General features: G+C 40.3%; 1 annotated feature.

The window, feature by feature from the left end:
• Positions 3578-4079: an enhancer, noted in NCBI's record as "NANOG hESC enhancer chr1:241581573-241582074 (GRCh37/hg19 assembly coordinates)". NCBI's record gives its function as "activates a minimal SCP1, AML or CMV promoter by ChIP-STARR-seq in primed H9 embryonic stem cells {active_cell/tissue: H9 hESC(primed)}" and the evidence as "EXISTENCE:reporter gene assay evidence [ECO:0000049][PMID:30033119]".

The raw sequence follows: 16891 nt of genomic DNA, 5'->3' as shown, positions 1-16891 counted from the left end.
ACTAAGTAAAATACTTTGTGATGTGGTAAGATAATTAGGTTTTGGAAAAAGTAATGAGTCCCATGAAGTGATGTCCAGTAGAGGCAGTAATTCATTGCTACCCTCTAACAACAAGGTCTCACTTTGTAAAGCTGATTTACTCTATCTTAAGAGGACCTGGGTGAATTCTGCCCATCAAAGGGCAATATACTCACTGAAGTAGCCAGTCCTAATTCTTGCTTCACCTATTTGAAAATCTTGAATGGAATAGAAAGAATGAGAAACAGTTTTAGAATGTTTTATATTACCTGCTGCCTGTGAAAATAGAATCACCTATAATAAGACACTTGGGATATTGCATGCATAGACTTCATAGAGATAATGTATTTGGGGAAGGTGGTTAGAACCAAGGGAAGGCTAAATTATTTCTCTTGACAGTCCCTATTGATTACCTGGCCCCAAATGGTAGTAACTTCTGGAATTTAGGAAAAATGTCAGAAAAATTAACATAAATTAAACATACTAACTCTGTATAACCAAACATAAAAGATAAAATTATGAAAGCTTCCAAAAGCTTATAAAAGGCATGGGAGAATCTCTGAAACATTTATCAAAAAAAGCTCAGGTGTTCCTGAAATTTCCACCCCTCTTACAGTACCTGTCAAAGAACAGGAGATTAGAACTGAATGTTGAATTTATCAGCATTAACAAAGACTAATGTAAGATAAACTGTTAGCCTATTAATGATGTTATGCCTCAGGCTATAACAATATACAAGTATTGTGATATGTTTAATCAAGGACAAAGAAAATTAAAGAGTGTGTGTGTGTGTGCGTATGTGTGTGTGTGTGTGTGTGTGTGTATCTAGTGACTAAAAAAAAGACACCATCCCTAAGAGATATGAGAATTTATGTTACTAGAAAAGTGGACTACATAGTAAAGTAGGAAAAATATTCAGGTTACCTCACAACCTACATGAAATGTCCTCCAAGACTCTCTTAATCTCTTTGCTTTATTTCGCCAAATAACCATCTGATTATTTAATCTGTATGGAAAAATCTTCTAACTTAGAAGGTACCAGGCAACACATACAAGCACATTGGTCATTGAAAAGACAACTTCCATTAAAAATTAAAATTGAAATTCTGCTTTGTAGATCAGTGTTTGTTCTCAATTTAGCCAGCATTAGTTGTGTGACCTTGAGAAAACCAATTCCCTGTGAAGAAAATCAATTTTTTCCCTTGTACAATTACAACATGAAATTCAGTCAGTATTCCCCCAACAGTCCCTCTCAGAACAAAAGTCTTAGCAAAGTGCCCAATCTATTAGAACAACTGGACATCCACCTGCAGTAGTGTGACTATTCTGTAACTATTCTATATGATATTGTAATGGTAAATACATGTTATTATGTAACTGACAGAACCCATAGAATGTACAACCCAAAGAGTGAACCCTAAACTATGAAATTTTAGTTAATAATAATGCATCAATCTTGGCTCATCAATTGTAACAAATGTACCACACTAATGCAAAATGTTAATAATAGGGGGAAGCTAGCGGTGGTGGAATGTGAAGAAGATATATGAGGCTGGGTGCGGTAGCTCACGCCTGTAATCCCAGTACTTTGGGAGGCTGAGGCGGGCAGATCATTTGAGGTCAGGAGTTTGAGACCAGCCTGGCCAACATAGTGAAACCCCATCTCTACTAAAAATACAAAAATTAGCCTGGCAGTAGTGGCACGCACCTGTAATCCCAGCTACTCAGGAGGCTGAGGCAGGAGAATCACTTGAGCCTGGGAGGTGGAGGTTGCAGTGAACGGAGATCGCACCACTGCACTCCAGTTGGGGGTGACAGAGTGAGACCTGCCTCAAAAAAAAAAAAAAGAAGAAGAAGAAGATATATGAGAACTCTGTTTTGTCCAAACTTTCTGTAAATCTAAAACTCCACATACACACACTATTAATTTTTTTTAAAGGTGCTCAATGTAAAAAGGATTTTATGGCCAAGTAATTTTTGGAGACGCTTCCTATAGTTTGTGATTTTCTTTGTGATTCATAGAGAATAGTAGTTATGACTGGAAAATTCTGCAGTAAAAAAGTATGCTTAATATTATTTATTCTAGCATTTCCTAAACTTATCTGGTCATGGACATTTTTCCCCCAAGGGAAAATGATTAACATCCTGGGGAACCAGTGTTTCAGGAGCATTCTTAAGATTCTTTCCAAATCTGGAAGTCTGGTTTTGTCTGTATCATGAACTTCTTTAGTAGAAATCAGACATCTCCAAATGATTCTATGGAATCAAAATGAGAGCCAGACTGTAGGCCCCAGTGGCTCCAGGAGAGCATAGTGGTGCCGTGTGAACTGTATTAGTCTGTTTTCACGCTGCTGATAAAGACGTACCTGAGACTGGGCAATTTAAAAAAGAAAGAGGTTTAATGGACTCACAGTTCCACGTGGCTGGGGAGGCCTCACAATCATGGCAGAAAGTGAAAGACACGTCTCACATGGTGGCAACCAAAAGAAGAGAGCTTGCATGGGGAAACTCCCCTTTATAAAACCATCAGATCTCGTGAGACTTATTCACTAACCTGAGAACAACATGGGAAAGACCTACCCCTATGATTCAATTACCTTTCACTGGCTCCCTTCCACAACAATGGGAATTGTTGGAACTACAATTCAGGATGAGATTTGGGTGGGGACACAGCCAAACCGTATCGTGAGCCCTACCTTTTCAGCTTGTCAGTGTCTAGTTTTACCACCTTTGAGAGCAAATTTCATAAATGCCTTTAAGAGAACTTAACAGGTCAGTTACTTATTAAAATATGAAAGATGTCATATTCATATCTAAGGTAAAGAAATCTAGTAGCAGTCCACATATCCCATTGGTTTTTTAAAAATTTCAGGGAATTTCTCAGTCAAAATCACTCCTAATGGGGAAGTTGAGAGGTCAAAGTTGGTGCTGCTGCTTGCATGAAAGGTGGGCAGCACGGCTGTGCCTCTTGAGAGCATTTGCTCAATAAACACTCATTTACTGACTTGCTGTTGATTGTTCATTGTGTTCATGTAAACAGTGAAGGGCTGGATTAAACTTACGCTAACACATTTTTTCACTTCAATGTTTATTCTGGCTTCAGAGTATGTAGTAATACTCCCTCTGACTCGAGGAAGAGGAGAAGTAATATTCCCCAGTCCTGCCTCTTCCCCTCCGCCACCCCCGCCCACAATTTTCCCAAGCTGAAAGCTTCCTTTAGAAATATCAGAAGAGTGTCAGTCAAGGCAAAAGTCCCCAGGTGTCCAGAGAAGGCCCTGGCATGACCACGGTGGCTTCTGTTCATTCTGTGCAGGACTTTTTTTTTTTTTTTTTTTTTTGAGACGGAGTCTTGCTCTGTCACCCAGGCTAGAGTGCAGTGGTGCGATCTCAGTTCACTGCAACCTCCGCCTCCCGGGTTCAAGCGATTCTCCTGCCTCAGCCTCCCGAGTAGCTGGGATTACAGGTGCCTGCCACTGCGCCTGGCTAATTTTTGTATTTTTAGTAGAGATGGAGTTTCACCATGTTGGCCAGGCTGGTCTCAAACTCCTGACCTCAGGTAATCCGTCCACCTCAGCCTCCCAAAGTGCCAGGATTACAGGTGTGAGCCACTGCAGCCAGCCTCTGTGCAGGACTTTTAAGGGACTTCCAGAAGCACCTTATGGCATCCTATCCTTTCAGTCCAGCTGCAGGACATAGCCACTTGGCCACTGGCAATGGCCTTCACCAAGTCCATGTTCCCTCTAGCCATTTCCAACCTTCTTGTGCTTGATCTCTTTATCTTGCTAATCCTTTGATTTAGTACTTGGCTTTTGACTCCAGGTTCAGGCTGTTTTCGCTTTGATGACATGTTGACTTAGGTGTCCATGGTTCTCACCCTCCAGCACTCTCCACTGGCATCTTGTCCATGCCTGGTCTTGACTCCATCCACCATAATCATGGGTAAGAGGTGCTCTTTTCGTTTATCCTCATTCTAAAGTATGCCCACTGGCCAGGGCCTCCGGCAAAGAACTAGAAAATATTTGATACCTGCCTCGTCACCTTTCCCCCAGTCTCCTGCACAATTTCCTGTGTGGAGAGGTTTAGGGATCCACTATGGAGCTTTGCAAATTGAAGCCTGACAGGGGCTGAGAGACAAAAGGAGAAACTCACAGTTATCATGTGCCTGTTGCACCAAAAGCTGTGCTTGTTTTTCATTGAATACTTATAACACCGCCGTTTCACAAAGGAGATAACTGAAGCTCACAGAAATTGACTTAAGTCTTCCATAGCTAGCAAGGGGCAGGACTACAATTTGAACATCACTGTAGTTGATTCCCAAGCCTATTTCTTCTCTCTCTATCTCAGTGCCTCGTTAGAATGCTTAATTCTAACATATAGACATGTGGTCCAAAGTATAGAGAAGCAAATATAATTAAACTTACGTTTCACATTATTTTTGTTACCACTTAATAAATGATCATGAATATTGGGCATATTCTTTCCTTTCCTCATTCATTCACTCAACAAATATCTATTGAGTAACTACTAACTATACGTCAGGCACTGTTCTAAGACCTTAGAATACCTCAATGAAAAGCATGGCAGAAATGCCTGCAAAGCTCCCATTCTAGTGTGTGAGGAATAGAAAATAAGCAATAAACACAATAATAAAAAAGAAAATTGTATAGTATATTGAAAGGTGATAAATGGACTGGAGAGAAGAAATAGGGCAGAGAAGGGTGTGGGTTAGGAGGTGATTCTATTTCTAAACAGAGTGGTGATTGAGAAGATGTCATTTGAACAAAGACTTGGTGGAAGACTTCCCAAGGACATTGGTGTGACTGGAGGAGAGTGAGCCATGTGTGCTAGGGGGAGGGACGGGGAGTAATACAGAGACACCAGCCTGTGAAGGCCATTGAAAGGGCTTTTTCTTTTACTTTACTAAAATAGGGAGCCATGAAGTGTGCTTGAGCAAAAGAGTGATGGATGTAATTTAAAAGGATTGCTGCACTGAGAACAAACTGAGATTGTCTGAACATCTAATTTATGGTTGCACATTCACTGTATCTCATTAGGTTAAGATTAGAGAGAATTTAACAAGATCAAGATAATGGCAAAAGTTCATTATGCTGAGATGGGCCACGGAGAAGAGCTGGCTGTAAGTTAAGCCTGGAATTAATGTAGTGATGGATGTAGGATCCAAGGAAAAGAACAGTAATTAGGAAAGAAAAGTATGGCCTCTGATTGGGGAATCTCAATTTATAAGCTCAGCCTGTCTTTTCAGTTTGATTTCCCGGATGCACATCTCTCTTTTCTCCAACTTGTGGAAAGATTTCAGCTTAAGAAATGAAATTTTCTCTAAAGATTTCATTTTTAGTTACACATTTAAATTCCAATATAAGTGACCAAAAAGAATACCACTTTGGGCCCAATTCATATTTTCTAAGCAGATGCCATTAGTTACATGAAAGTCTTTCAATATCTGCTGATTGATTCTCTTGTAGTCACTGTTTTCCTTCTCTTTTCACTTAACTAGTTTCACTTAAAGAATCCGACATAAGATGAATAGAATCGCTTTCCAAATAAATCTGAGAATTTTCTCTCTTGTCCTCTTTCGATCATACCGGTTCCCTTTCCTCCAACTTAGAATTCAGAGAGTGAAATAAGAGATGTTTCTCTCTTGAATAGCCAGACGTGTTGCTTTGATGCTAGTTTCCCTCTTATTTAAATGATGAATCTTGTTTATATTTATTAAATATAAATTAAAATATATTTAATGAGCACCCATTACATTTAAATCACCACGCTGAAGATTGAAGTATGAACATGAGCCAGGGATTGTGACACGCGTTATAGTCCCAGCTACTTGTGAGGCTGAGGGAAGAGGATTGCTTCAGCTCAGGAGTTCAAGGCCAGCCTGAGCAACAGAGAAAAAAGCCATCAAAAAAAAAAAAAGAAAAGAAAAAGAAAAGAAATATGAACATTGGCAGGCATACCCTCTGAGTTCAAAGAGCTCAAAAGCCAGTAGTAATCTCACGCCAGTGGGAACTTTGTCACTGGACTCTAGTTAAAGGGATTTTCTTTTTTTTTTTTTTTTTTTTTTTTAAATTTATTTTTTTATTGATAATTCTTGGGTGTTTCTCACAGAGGGGGATTTGGCAGGGTCATGGGACAATAGTGGAGGGAAGGTCAGCAGATAAACAAGTGAACAAAGGTCTCTGGTTTTCCTAGGCAGAGGACCCTGCGGCCTTCCGCAGTGTTTGTGTCCCTGATTACTTGAGATTAGGGATTGGTGATGACTCTTAACGAGCATGCTGCCTTCAAGCATCTGTTTAACAAAGCACATCTTGCACCGCCCTTAATCCATTTAACCCTGAGTGGACACAGCACATGTTTCAGAGAGCACAGGGTTGGGGGTAAGGTCACAGATCAACAGGATCCCAAGGCAGAAGAATTTTTCTTAGTGCAGAACAAAATGAAAAGTCTCCCATGTCTACTTCTTTCTACACAGACACGGCAACCATCCGATTTCTCAATCTTTTCCCCACCTTTCCCGCCTTTCTATTCCACAAAGCCGCCATTGTCATCCTGGCCCGTTCTCAATGAGCTGTTGGGCACACCTCCCAGACGGGGTGGTGGCCGGGCAGAGGCGCTCCTCACTTCCCAGTAGTTAAAGGGATTTTCTAATTATTCAACCTATAGCACGGTCCTGCAGAATTAACTGAATATGAAAGGAGCATTAACCACCTCTCCTTATTGCACTGGTATTAAGGAATAGGTGAAATAAGACTTTTGAAATATTTCCATGTCTAGATACATTATTGCTTGGAGTCACCTTTCACTCTTGGTGACTTTTCGTGACTTTTTTTTAACAAGATCATCCTGATCTTGTAAAATCCTACTAGAGTTTCAACTTGCAGGACTATCTTATATATTTGAATGATTTACGAATAAACCCAGTACATACAAATCCATATTTAAGTAATAATTCAATAACTAATCATTCATTTTTCCAAAAGATTCATAAATGAATACTCTGAGACAAGATCTTCTTAAGCATTAAAAAATACGATTCAACCCTTTAAATATTCATAGTGGACACACTCCTCTCTAGGGATACAGGTATTAGAGAGAGGTATAGTTATACCTGGGATATAGTATTAACTCCTATTAGCTCTGCAAGGTGAAAAGATAACAGCATTAAAATTGAAGATTCTATGAATATAAAATCTGTATCACAGAGACTGAAGGCAGTGCATTGTATCATATAGAGGAAGACAAGGAGAAATTCATTGTCCTTCCTCAAGGGCACACTGCGAAGAAAAAGGAGCTGTACTTTTCCACTTCCTCCAACAAAAGGGACAGCTTTTAGATGATACTGTATTTTCTTAAGGTCTCTCCTATTTTCTGTGATTGTGTTCATTTTTGTGTGTGAAATAGTTAAACATACTTGTGGTAAATGTTACTTATACATAATTTTATCTATTTGCATCTATTTTCTCTCTGTCTTTTTCTATAGATATCTCTTTGTGTATATATACAGCATAAAAACTCTGTTCAAGATATGTATTTTACCCAAAAATCTATCCATTTCTAATTCTAGCCCGCTCTGCAATCTAGTGTTGTAACGCATAAATCACTTCAAAAGTGAAAGAGGATTATGGGTCTCTTCCACTTTTCCATATATCATATTTTAGGCCACTTCAACAAATGAAATGGCAAAGTCACTGTTGCTGTCCTAGAGACTGCAGGAAATAAACACACCATGTACGGGCATGCACACACACACACACATGCACACACACACACACACACACACACACCCCTCTGCCTTCTTCAAGTTTATCATCAATTGATGAGACAAAAACTAAATACGTGATCTAATCACTTGACAAGGCCAGATTCAGATAAAGCTGCTCTGTCTGCAAAAAAAAACAGAAGACACAGGGCACAGCAGGTGAGAGCAGGTGCCTGGATGTCTTGGTATTTCCAAGTAGCAACACCCTCAAACCAATTTTATCACTAGTGTCCAGAAGCAGACACTTCCCTTTCTTCTTTTTCATGCTTTTACTTCATTTGGAAGGAAAGAACCCTGCCTAGCTCCTCCTCTGAAAGATCCACCGGCAAGTCCAGGTGTCTGCGGAGCTAGTGCCCCTCAGGTGTCTGTGTCTTCAACACACTTGGCTCTAGGGCCCTTGCAAACAACATGACTCAGCCCTGAATAAAGGTATGCCTCCCTGCAGACTTCCAGCCCCACTTGGACCCCTCAGGGTGTGAGAGGTCACGAAATGCTCACAATGCATCAACTTCATTTATCCCATGAATGCCATACATCATCTTTTAATTGAAGGGAATTGTAGGGGAAAAACATTAACAAAATATTTAAACTGAGAGAGTGCCTCATTTTCAAAGAGAGCAGGTGTCACAATTTTAGAGGACCTGGTCTCTCAGCCTCCACCAACGGCACTGCTGAATGGGTCCCCAAGGTGATGCAAGTGAAAAAACCCATTTGACTTACCTGTAAGAATCCCATCAACCACCTCAGTCAGTCATCTCTTTCCCATCCCCAGGAGCTACTTAGGTCCTGAAGCTATGATCTTACTGTGGTGATTTAGTGGCCTGAAGGAGCATTTGACAGTGATGACACAGCCTTGGCTCTGAGATGAAGCATATGGCTCGGGAGAGCCTGACTCATTATTTTCTGATAATGTTTACATGTTAAACTGTCAACTCAGATCTAAAATATCACATGTTCTGTGGTGGCATCTGCATGTGGCTGTGACTCAGTACTGGAGCTGTGGCTCCGTACCAAGACAACCAGAAGGACACATCTGGTTACCACATTGGAACAACTATGCCACAGCTGTGCCATGGCTACAGGCACCTGGACTTGCACTGTAGTTCTCCTTTTGGTCCTCTGTGGTGCAGTTTTACCTCAATAATAGATTAAATGATTAAAGTGATTAAATAATAAAAAGAACCAACTTCTGTGTCACTCGGATCTAGGTTCAAATCTCAGCTCCACAACTTAGCAAATGTGAGAACCTGAGCAAAGTACCTAGGCTCTGAGCCTCAATTTACTCATCAGTAAAATGGGGATGATAATATACCCATATCTTATCATATACCCATGTATATCATAGTTGTGTCCCATATCAATATTGTGAGGAATAAATTAGATCATGTACCCAAGCTATTCTTCATGGACAATATCATGATTGGAGTGTAAGAAATGATGGAATTATCAGTGGCAAATCTGCATTCAAACACCTTTCTGTGAGCTGCGTTATAGGGCACTGTATTCCGGCAGATTTACTTAGTAGCTGCAGCTGAATGCATTATACCTGAAGTGGACTTTCTACCTGAAAGAGGATGCAGCAAATAAGATTCAAAAATGTGGAATTGGCTGAGTGGAAGAGGTGGGGCTTTGGATAGTGAGGTCTCAGGTATTTCAGGCTGCAAATCTGGTGACCCTTCTTATGTGGTGGCCGAACATTTGGTCAGATTGTCACCCGCTGTTCTTTGGGATACAGACCATGTGCCGTGGCAGCTTTGCTATTAGGATAAATAGTGGAAAAAAATTCAGAACCCTGGCATATGGCTATAGATTTTTTTTTTTTTTTCTGAAGGAGTGGTCTGTACTTCGATCCAAGTTAGCCAGTCTGCAAGAGGAAATGAGAGATCAATGCTTTACCTGTGGCCTGCATTCTAAATTCACTGACAATCCTATATTTTGGGTACTGCTGAGTTTTAAAAAAGAAATTTATTCCTACTAAACTGAGCAGGCAAGGACAGTGACAGGAAGCCTGGAGCCTTCATAGATTGGTAACTTAAGACTTTTCCATCCAGGCTCTTTGGATTTCTTTAGACAAATGCACAGTGGTATTACACTTGCTATCTCTCCATCATTATTTTGAATGACCTCAAGGCATTGGCCATTAAGCTATGGAACAGAGGACCGGGAACAACCCAGAGATCAGTAGGTGTATTAGTTTGTTCTCACGCTGCTAATAAAGACATACCCAGGACTGGGTAATTTATAAATAAAGGAGATTTAATGGATTCACACAGTTCTACATGGCTGGGGAGGCCTCACAATCATGGCAGAAGGCAAAGGAGAAGCAAAGTCACATCTTAAATGGTGGCAGGAAAGAGAGCGTGTGCAGGGGAACTCCCACTTATAAAACCACCAGATCTCGTGAGACTTATTCACTATCACGAGAACAACAAGGGAAATCCTGCCCTCATGATTCAGTTACCTCCCACCGGGTCCCTCCCACAACGTGTGGGGATTATGGGAGCTACAGTATAAGATGACATTTGGATGGGGACACAGCCAAACCATATCAGAAGGTAAAGGAAAGGAATCTTCTAGCTAAATACCATATCTAAGTGAAATCTTTGTCTGTGGTTATTCACATATGGAATTAATTGAGAAATTATTCCAACACTGGAAATTCTGTAAACTTTTGAGGACATTGTATTGCCGGAGGCTAATAAGAGCCTGTCATTGTTAAACCTCTAAGGTTATTCCTTTCCTCAAATTAAGACCAATAGGAAGTGGGCCAAAAATATCTGTGGCTTCAAAGGAAGTGATCTTCTATAATACCCATTTCATATGTGGCCATGGATGAAAAGAGACAAGGAATAATCTCCCCAGAAGCAGGACGGGAGGATGCCAGAATGGGTAACCGAGGACAGCACCTCTGACAGAACACAGGAGTCCTGAGTTTTCCTGCCTGGCGGTGTTTGGTGTTGACTTTGGCACTGTCTCTCCTATGTGACTTCCATTGTTCTCCTTTCTGAATAGGGGTTAGTATTGCTCCTGATTAAATATTAAATAATGGTTGAAAAGGAGCAGGGTAAGTGCATTATTAGTAGGTGCAGCCAGGTAGCCAGGTAGCATTTGCTTCATTTACCTGTCCTTCATCCTTTCTCTCTTCTTTTCCTTCTTTTTTTTTCTGTTCTGGAATTAAAATTTGCTTGGGTGCAGAGTAGTCATCCTGGAGATCATTAAAACAGAAACCACAAGCTAAGGATGATGGAGGAGAAGCAAGCTAGAAAGAATCTGGTTCCAGATGACTTCCTTGAGCAGTTTCATCAGCTCTGGACTGACTCGCAACTTCTAGATTCCTTGCCATCTAAAACATGTTTAGTTCCCTGAAGTTGAATTTTTGTGTAAATACTTGTTCGTGACCAAATTCTAACAAACCGTGGCTTGGTTGCCAAGTAAAATCAGAGGTCGTGGAAAAGAGAAGAAGGTCAAATATTCTTATTTTGGGAAGCAGTAACTGAATTGGTGGAGATGGCAGTGTGGTAGTCCAGGAGGCAAATGTGAGGTTTAGAAGGTAGAGGGTATGGTGCCTAGACAAGTTGAGGAGGCAGAAGAATGTGACCGTGTCTGGGGTCAAAATGGCAATTCAGAGGCAGGAACAATGGTCAAAAGGATAGATAAGGCAAAGGAGGGGGCAGCAATGCTCTCTTAGCTAAAAGACCCTCAGGGCAGACTAGGACCTGTCTCCAGCAAGACACACTCTACTTTAGCTCAGCTTCATTCTAGCAAACATCCCTTAGTGCAGGTTGGCAACCGTAGATGGAAGAAGCAGAAGTACAACTCCCTCACCTTCCTGGTATCCTGTGTAGAAGCATGTCTGAGTTGATGTGCAGCTGATCATATCACGGGCCTCGTGTTCTGTCTTTTTACTGAACAAGCACGAGAACAGTCATTCATAGTGATGAACCATCTGGGTTTAGGCTTGGGTGCCTGCTGTTGAGAGGAGCCGTCTGGGTATGCATTTGTTTCTCACTTCTGGTAAATTAGAGAAAAGTTAGGCTTAGGGATTCAGGGAAGCCACTATCCAGGCCTCCAAAATCACCCACAGTTAAACCTGTTTGGCTCTTCTCAGCCTGGGAAGCCATTTATTTGTCTTTCATACATTTTTTGATTTGCTAGTTGCATTTCTGTTGATCAGATGCACTATTAGGAATAGAGTCTCTTTGCCTAATGAAGCTATAATGAAATTCTAGTCAAGAAAAGCAACAGCATCTTAGTTACCTACATAAATATCTGAATCATTTTGTTGGTCTCTCTAATGTTTCCTGATTTCTGTTCTTGCATTTTAAGAAGCTGCAGAGAAAGAAGCCCTCTCAGACATAGCAGTCATCCCAGCCTCAAGTGGACCTAAATTTGGAATGCCTGAAATTGAAAGCTCCGATAATGGATTTGCTCAAATCAAGGAGAATAAAGTCCTTCCTCCTGGCACGAATAAAAATGGTCGCAACTTTAATTTAAGTGGCATGCACTGGATTTTGTAATTTTCCACCCCTCTTTAATCTACTGGAAAGAAAACACAAAATGATGTAAGAAAATGGGAAAATCTGCCCATTGATATTACATCACCCTTTTGCTTCTGTATTAGCCACAGTTCTCTAGAGAAACAGAACCGATAGGATATAGACATATAGGGAGACATATATATATATATAGAGAGAGATAATGTAGACATATAGATGTCATATATGTCATAAATATATAAATACATATGAATATTTTTAAATTTGATGAACATATTAATTAAAATATTTTAAATTTTAGATACATATATATATATAGAGAGAGAGAGAGAGAGAGAGATTGAGATTTATTGTAGAAAATTGGCTCACACAATTAAGCTGGAGGGCGAAGAGAGCCAATGACATAGTTCCGTCTGAAATCCAAGTCTCAAAACCCAGGAAGAGCCAATGTTTTAATTCAAGTCCAAAAAACAGGAGGAAATCAATGTCCCAGCTTGAAGGCAGTTAGTCAGAAGGAGTTCCCCCATACTCAACTTTCTCGTTCTATTCAAACCTTCAACTAACTGGATGAGGCCCATTCACGTAAGGGAGGGCTGTCTGCTTTACTCGGTCCACTGTAAACGTTCACTGCATGCAGAAACAGCCTCACAGACACACCCAGAATAAAGTTCAACTAAATATCTGGCCACCTCATGGCCCAGTCAAGTTGATACATAAAATTAACCATCACACCTTAAGTGAGATTAAAAGGTAGATGTTTATAGCCTAGATCTAGCTCAGAGGTCAGTGTTTTCAAAAATTTTTTTAAATTACTTGTTGTCAAACCAGTGGATCAGAGACTACCAGGAACACATCTGTAGTGAAAAAAAAAAATAGTTTTACTTATATTGTTTCAGAAAGAGTGGTCTCACTTTGGGGAAACCCCAGGAGCATTTCAGGAGGGAGTTGTTAAAGGGGTCTTTTAGCGTTGGGGCTTATGTTAGATGATTTGAGGAGGGATTAGGACACGGAGACTAGTATTAGATTTCAGACCGCTAAGAAGGTAGGAGGTGAATCAGACCACCTCCTTCCCATAGCAAGTCTGGGATCATATATGTACTGATTCTTAATTTTTCTACTCACTTTATCTATTATTTCTTGTTAATCAGCCCAAACTTCTATCTTTACAAAACGTTTTTGGCCGGGCGCGGTGGCTCACGCCTGTAATTCCAGCACTTTGGGAGGCCGAGGCGGGTGGATTACGAGATCAGGAGATGGAGACCATCCTGGCTAACACGGTGAAACCCCGTCTCTACTAAAAATACAAAAAATTAGCCGGGCGAGGTGGCGGGTGCCTGTAGTCCCAGCTACTCAAGAGGCTGAGGCAGGAGAATGGCGTGAACCCGGGAGGCGGAGCTTGCAGTGAGCCGAGATCGCGCCACTACACTCCAGCCTGGGCGACAGAGCGAGACTCAGTCAAAAAAAAAAAAAAAAAAAAAAAGTTTTTAGGACAAACCCTTCTATACTTTCCAAGATACATTGTATCTTCCTTTACTTATACTAAGAAGGTAGGTCAATGCAGAGATAGGGTATCTGAATGAGTTTTATCTAAGAGGCGAGAGTATTAAAGTGGGTTTAGAGGTATTGTTATAGAAGCAGTATCCACTCACACTGGTGATGTTAGTCAGAAGAGGGGGATATTGAGTCATGTTTGTGTCACAGGGTGGCCTTATCTGTCTTTCTCTAAACGTAACTATGGAGTGAACTTATCTTTGTGTTGTTTTGAGCATTATTTGTGATCTTTTGGGAACATTGTTATCTGGTTGTCAGCAGAGCCACTTTTCACTTTCTCATTACCAACATTTAAAAATCGAGAGAATTTTGCCTAAAATATGGACTTGTCTTCTCTTGAAAACATTTAAAATATTGGGCTATGTTGGGCTTTTATTTCCAGATGATTCTAATAGGCTATCTCATCTCCAGTTTGTCCTAGATCTTACCCACTTATTATTATTTGATACCAGACGTACTCTGTTCTTTTATGATATCTTCCTGGCATTTGTAGACATACGCATTTTCAATCTCTGGTGTAGCTGATGAGTTAATCATAGATTTGGAATGGCCTGGGCCTTTCCAATTATTAAAAATGTTCACTTTTCATAATTTCTTCACAGTTATTGAAATGAAAGCATTTACCATCATTTAACTAAATCATTATACATTAAATTTTGGTCTATCTTACTTGGGGAAAGTAAAATGAAACCTCAAAACATCATATATCATATTTCAATTGACCGATCAGTCTATAAGTGGCTCAGCTGATTTACGTTAAATTTAAACGATAGTAAACTAAAATACTCCTTGTCTCTTTCTAGCTAAACCTCATAGAATGTCTATAACTTGTCTATCAGTGGGACTCTTTAGTATGAGTGACAGAATAATCTCACTCAAACTAGCTTAAACCAAAATAATTTATTCACTTTCATAACTGGAAAGCTAAGGGTAAGATTCATCTGTACAATTTGATTCAGGCACATAAATAGAGCCATCTCTGAATGTGATCTTTTCTATCTCTTATCTGGTCTCTATTATGTTGGTTTTAGTCTCAAGCTTTGCATGGAAGTGGCATGGCTCCCAAAATCTACATTCTTACATGCTTAACAGCCGTGGAAAGAAAGACTTCTCTTTTACGAAGTGAGTGAAGGAATGTTCTTGGTCTGAATATTATTGGTCCAATTTGGCTAAGATGTTCATCCTTGAAGTAATCATCTTGCAAATAATAGAATATAACAATTGTCTCAGCTCTGTTTCTTACACCTGGTCCTGGAACTGCAGGTGGTCAGCCCCACCCACTGATACAGCAGTGGATCTCAAAACAAAAGCTAGAGTACTAGTAATGGAAAAAGGTGAATGGCAGGAGAGAACTTCAAACAATAAATATTCGGAAGTCTCATGCAATAAATATCTATTGAAACTTGATAAGGTCACCACCTTTTAAGGATCTGATCTTCATTTTGATAGGTTCAGAAACAGTATTTGCAGAGATGATCACGCCGTTGGTTCTAAATCCCTGTAAACCTATTGGAAACTGATTTGTATATTTGCCTCAGGCTTCCTAGGAAGCAGACTCTGAAATAGAGACTTGTGTGCAAGAAATTTATTGAAGAGTTCTCTCAACACATTTGCAGAGGAGTGAAGAAAGTAAGAGTGGGAAGAAAAAAAGTTTGAATGTAATGAAGTCACCAAAAAAGGTCTTTAGCTGGTGTTACAGGAAGCTCTGGAGCAAGGATGCTCTTTTATATATGGGGGCTAAGCAATTATATTCTTCTCTTAGCTGTAGGTTTCCCAGAAAAGAGGTGGGAAGGGTGACTCTCTTCCGATAAAAGAAAATCCCAAAGAATGACTTAGCTGGGAGATGCCAGCTGTCAACATTCCTGGCAACTGGGAGAATGATTGCTTTGGTTTTGCTGTGGAGGGCAGGTCTTGGTAGCATGCCATAGCATCCACTGCAATAATGTGTGACTCCATCCCAGACATGTAACTGGTAAGGGAAAACAAATACTGCTGGGTGCAGTTGCTCACGCCTATAATCTTAGCACTTTGGGAGGCCAAGGTGGGAGGATCGCTTGAGCCCTGGAGTTTGAGATCAGCCTGGGCAACACAGTAAGACCCCATCTCTAAAAAAAAAAAAAAAAATAGCCAAGTGTGGTGGCGCATGCCTGTAGTCCCAGCTACTCGAAAGATGGAGAGGTGGGAGGATCACTTGAGCCTAGGAGGTCGAGGCTACAGTGAGCCGTGATTGGTCCACTGCACTCCAGCCTGAGTGACAGAGAAAGACCTTGTCTCAAAAGAAACAAAGAAAAGAAAAGAAATACTTATGTCAGTTCATCAGATAATGCTATTCAAAGAATGAAAGTCTTTCCTGGAGAATAAAATAACTATCAAAAACTCACTTGGTGAGTAAGGCAGTAGAATAGAGTGGAGCATGTGCTTTAAAGGAGCTATCTCCCTATAGTCGTGGAATGTCTTTGCCTCCACCACATAAATACACCTGGCCATTAGGCAGAGCAGAAAGCTCACATCATGTGGAGGTGAATCAGACCACCTTCATCCCACAGCAAGTCTGGGATCACGTATGTACTGATTCTTAATTTTTCTACTCACTTTATCTAGTACTTCTTGTTAATCACCTGAAACTTCTATCTTTACAAAATGTTCTCGTGACAAACCTTCTATACTTTACAAGATACATCTTATCTTCCTTTACTTATACTAATGGAATGCCTTTCTCTTTAGGAAGGCAACTGAGGGGTTTCTCACAAAGCTTTAAGAAGCACCCCCTTCTCATCAGCCACACTGACAAATTAAGTCTCACTTTGTCTAGCTAATTCATCTGTTTATGTGAATTCCTTTTAGTCCAGCCAAAGACTCATTGCAACCCTGTCTTCCCACTCATGTGATCTCATGAAATTATCCAACCTTTCAAATTTCAATGTTCTCATCTGTAAAATGAAGTTTTATAGAACATAGTCTTTAAGACGGCTTCTAGAATTCTAGGATCCTAACGTTCTACGATCCTTTCTCTTTCATTTATTTGTGATAAAAATGAAACAAATCCAGT

The sequence above is a fragment of the Homo sapiens genome, chromosome 1 (assembly GCF_000001405.40).
Source record: "Homo sapiens chromosome 1, GRCh38.p14 Primary Assembly".
NCBI lineage: Eukaryota > Metazoa > Chordata > Mammalia > Primates > Hominidae > Homo > Homo sapiens.
Note: the sequence above shows the minus strand (reverse complement) of the source record. Positions and strands in the feature narration are given on the sequence as shown.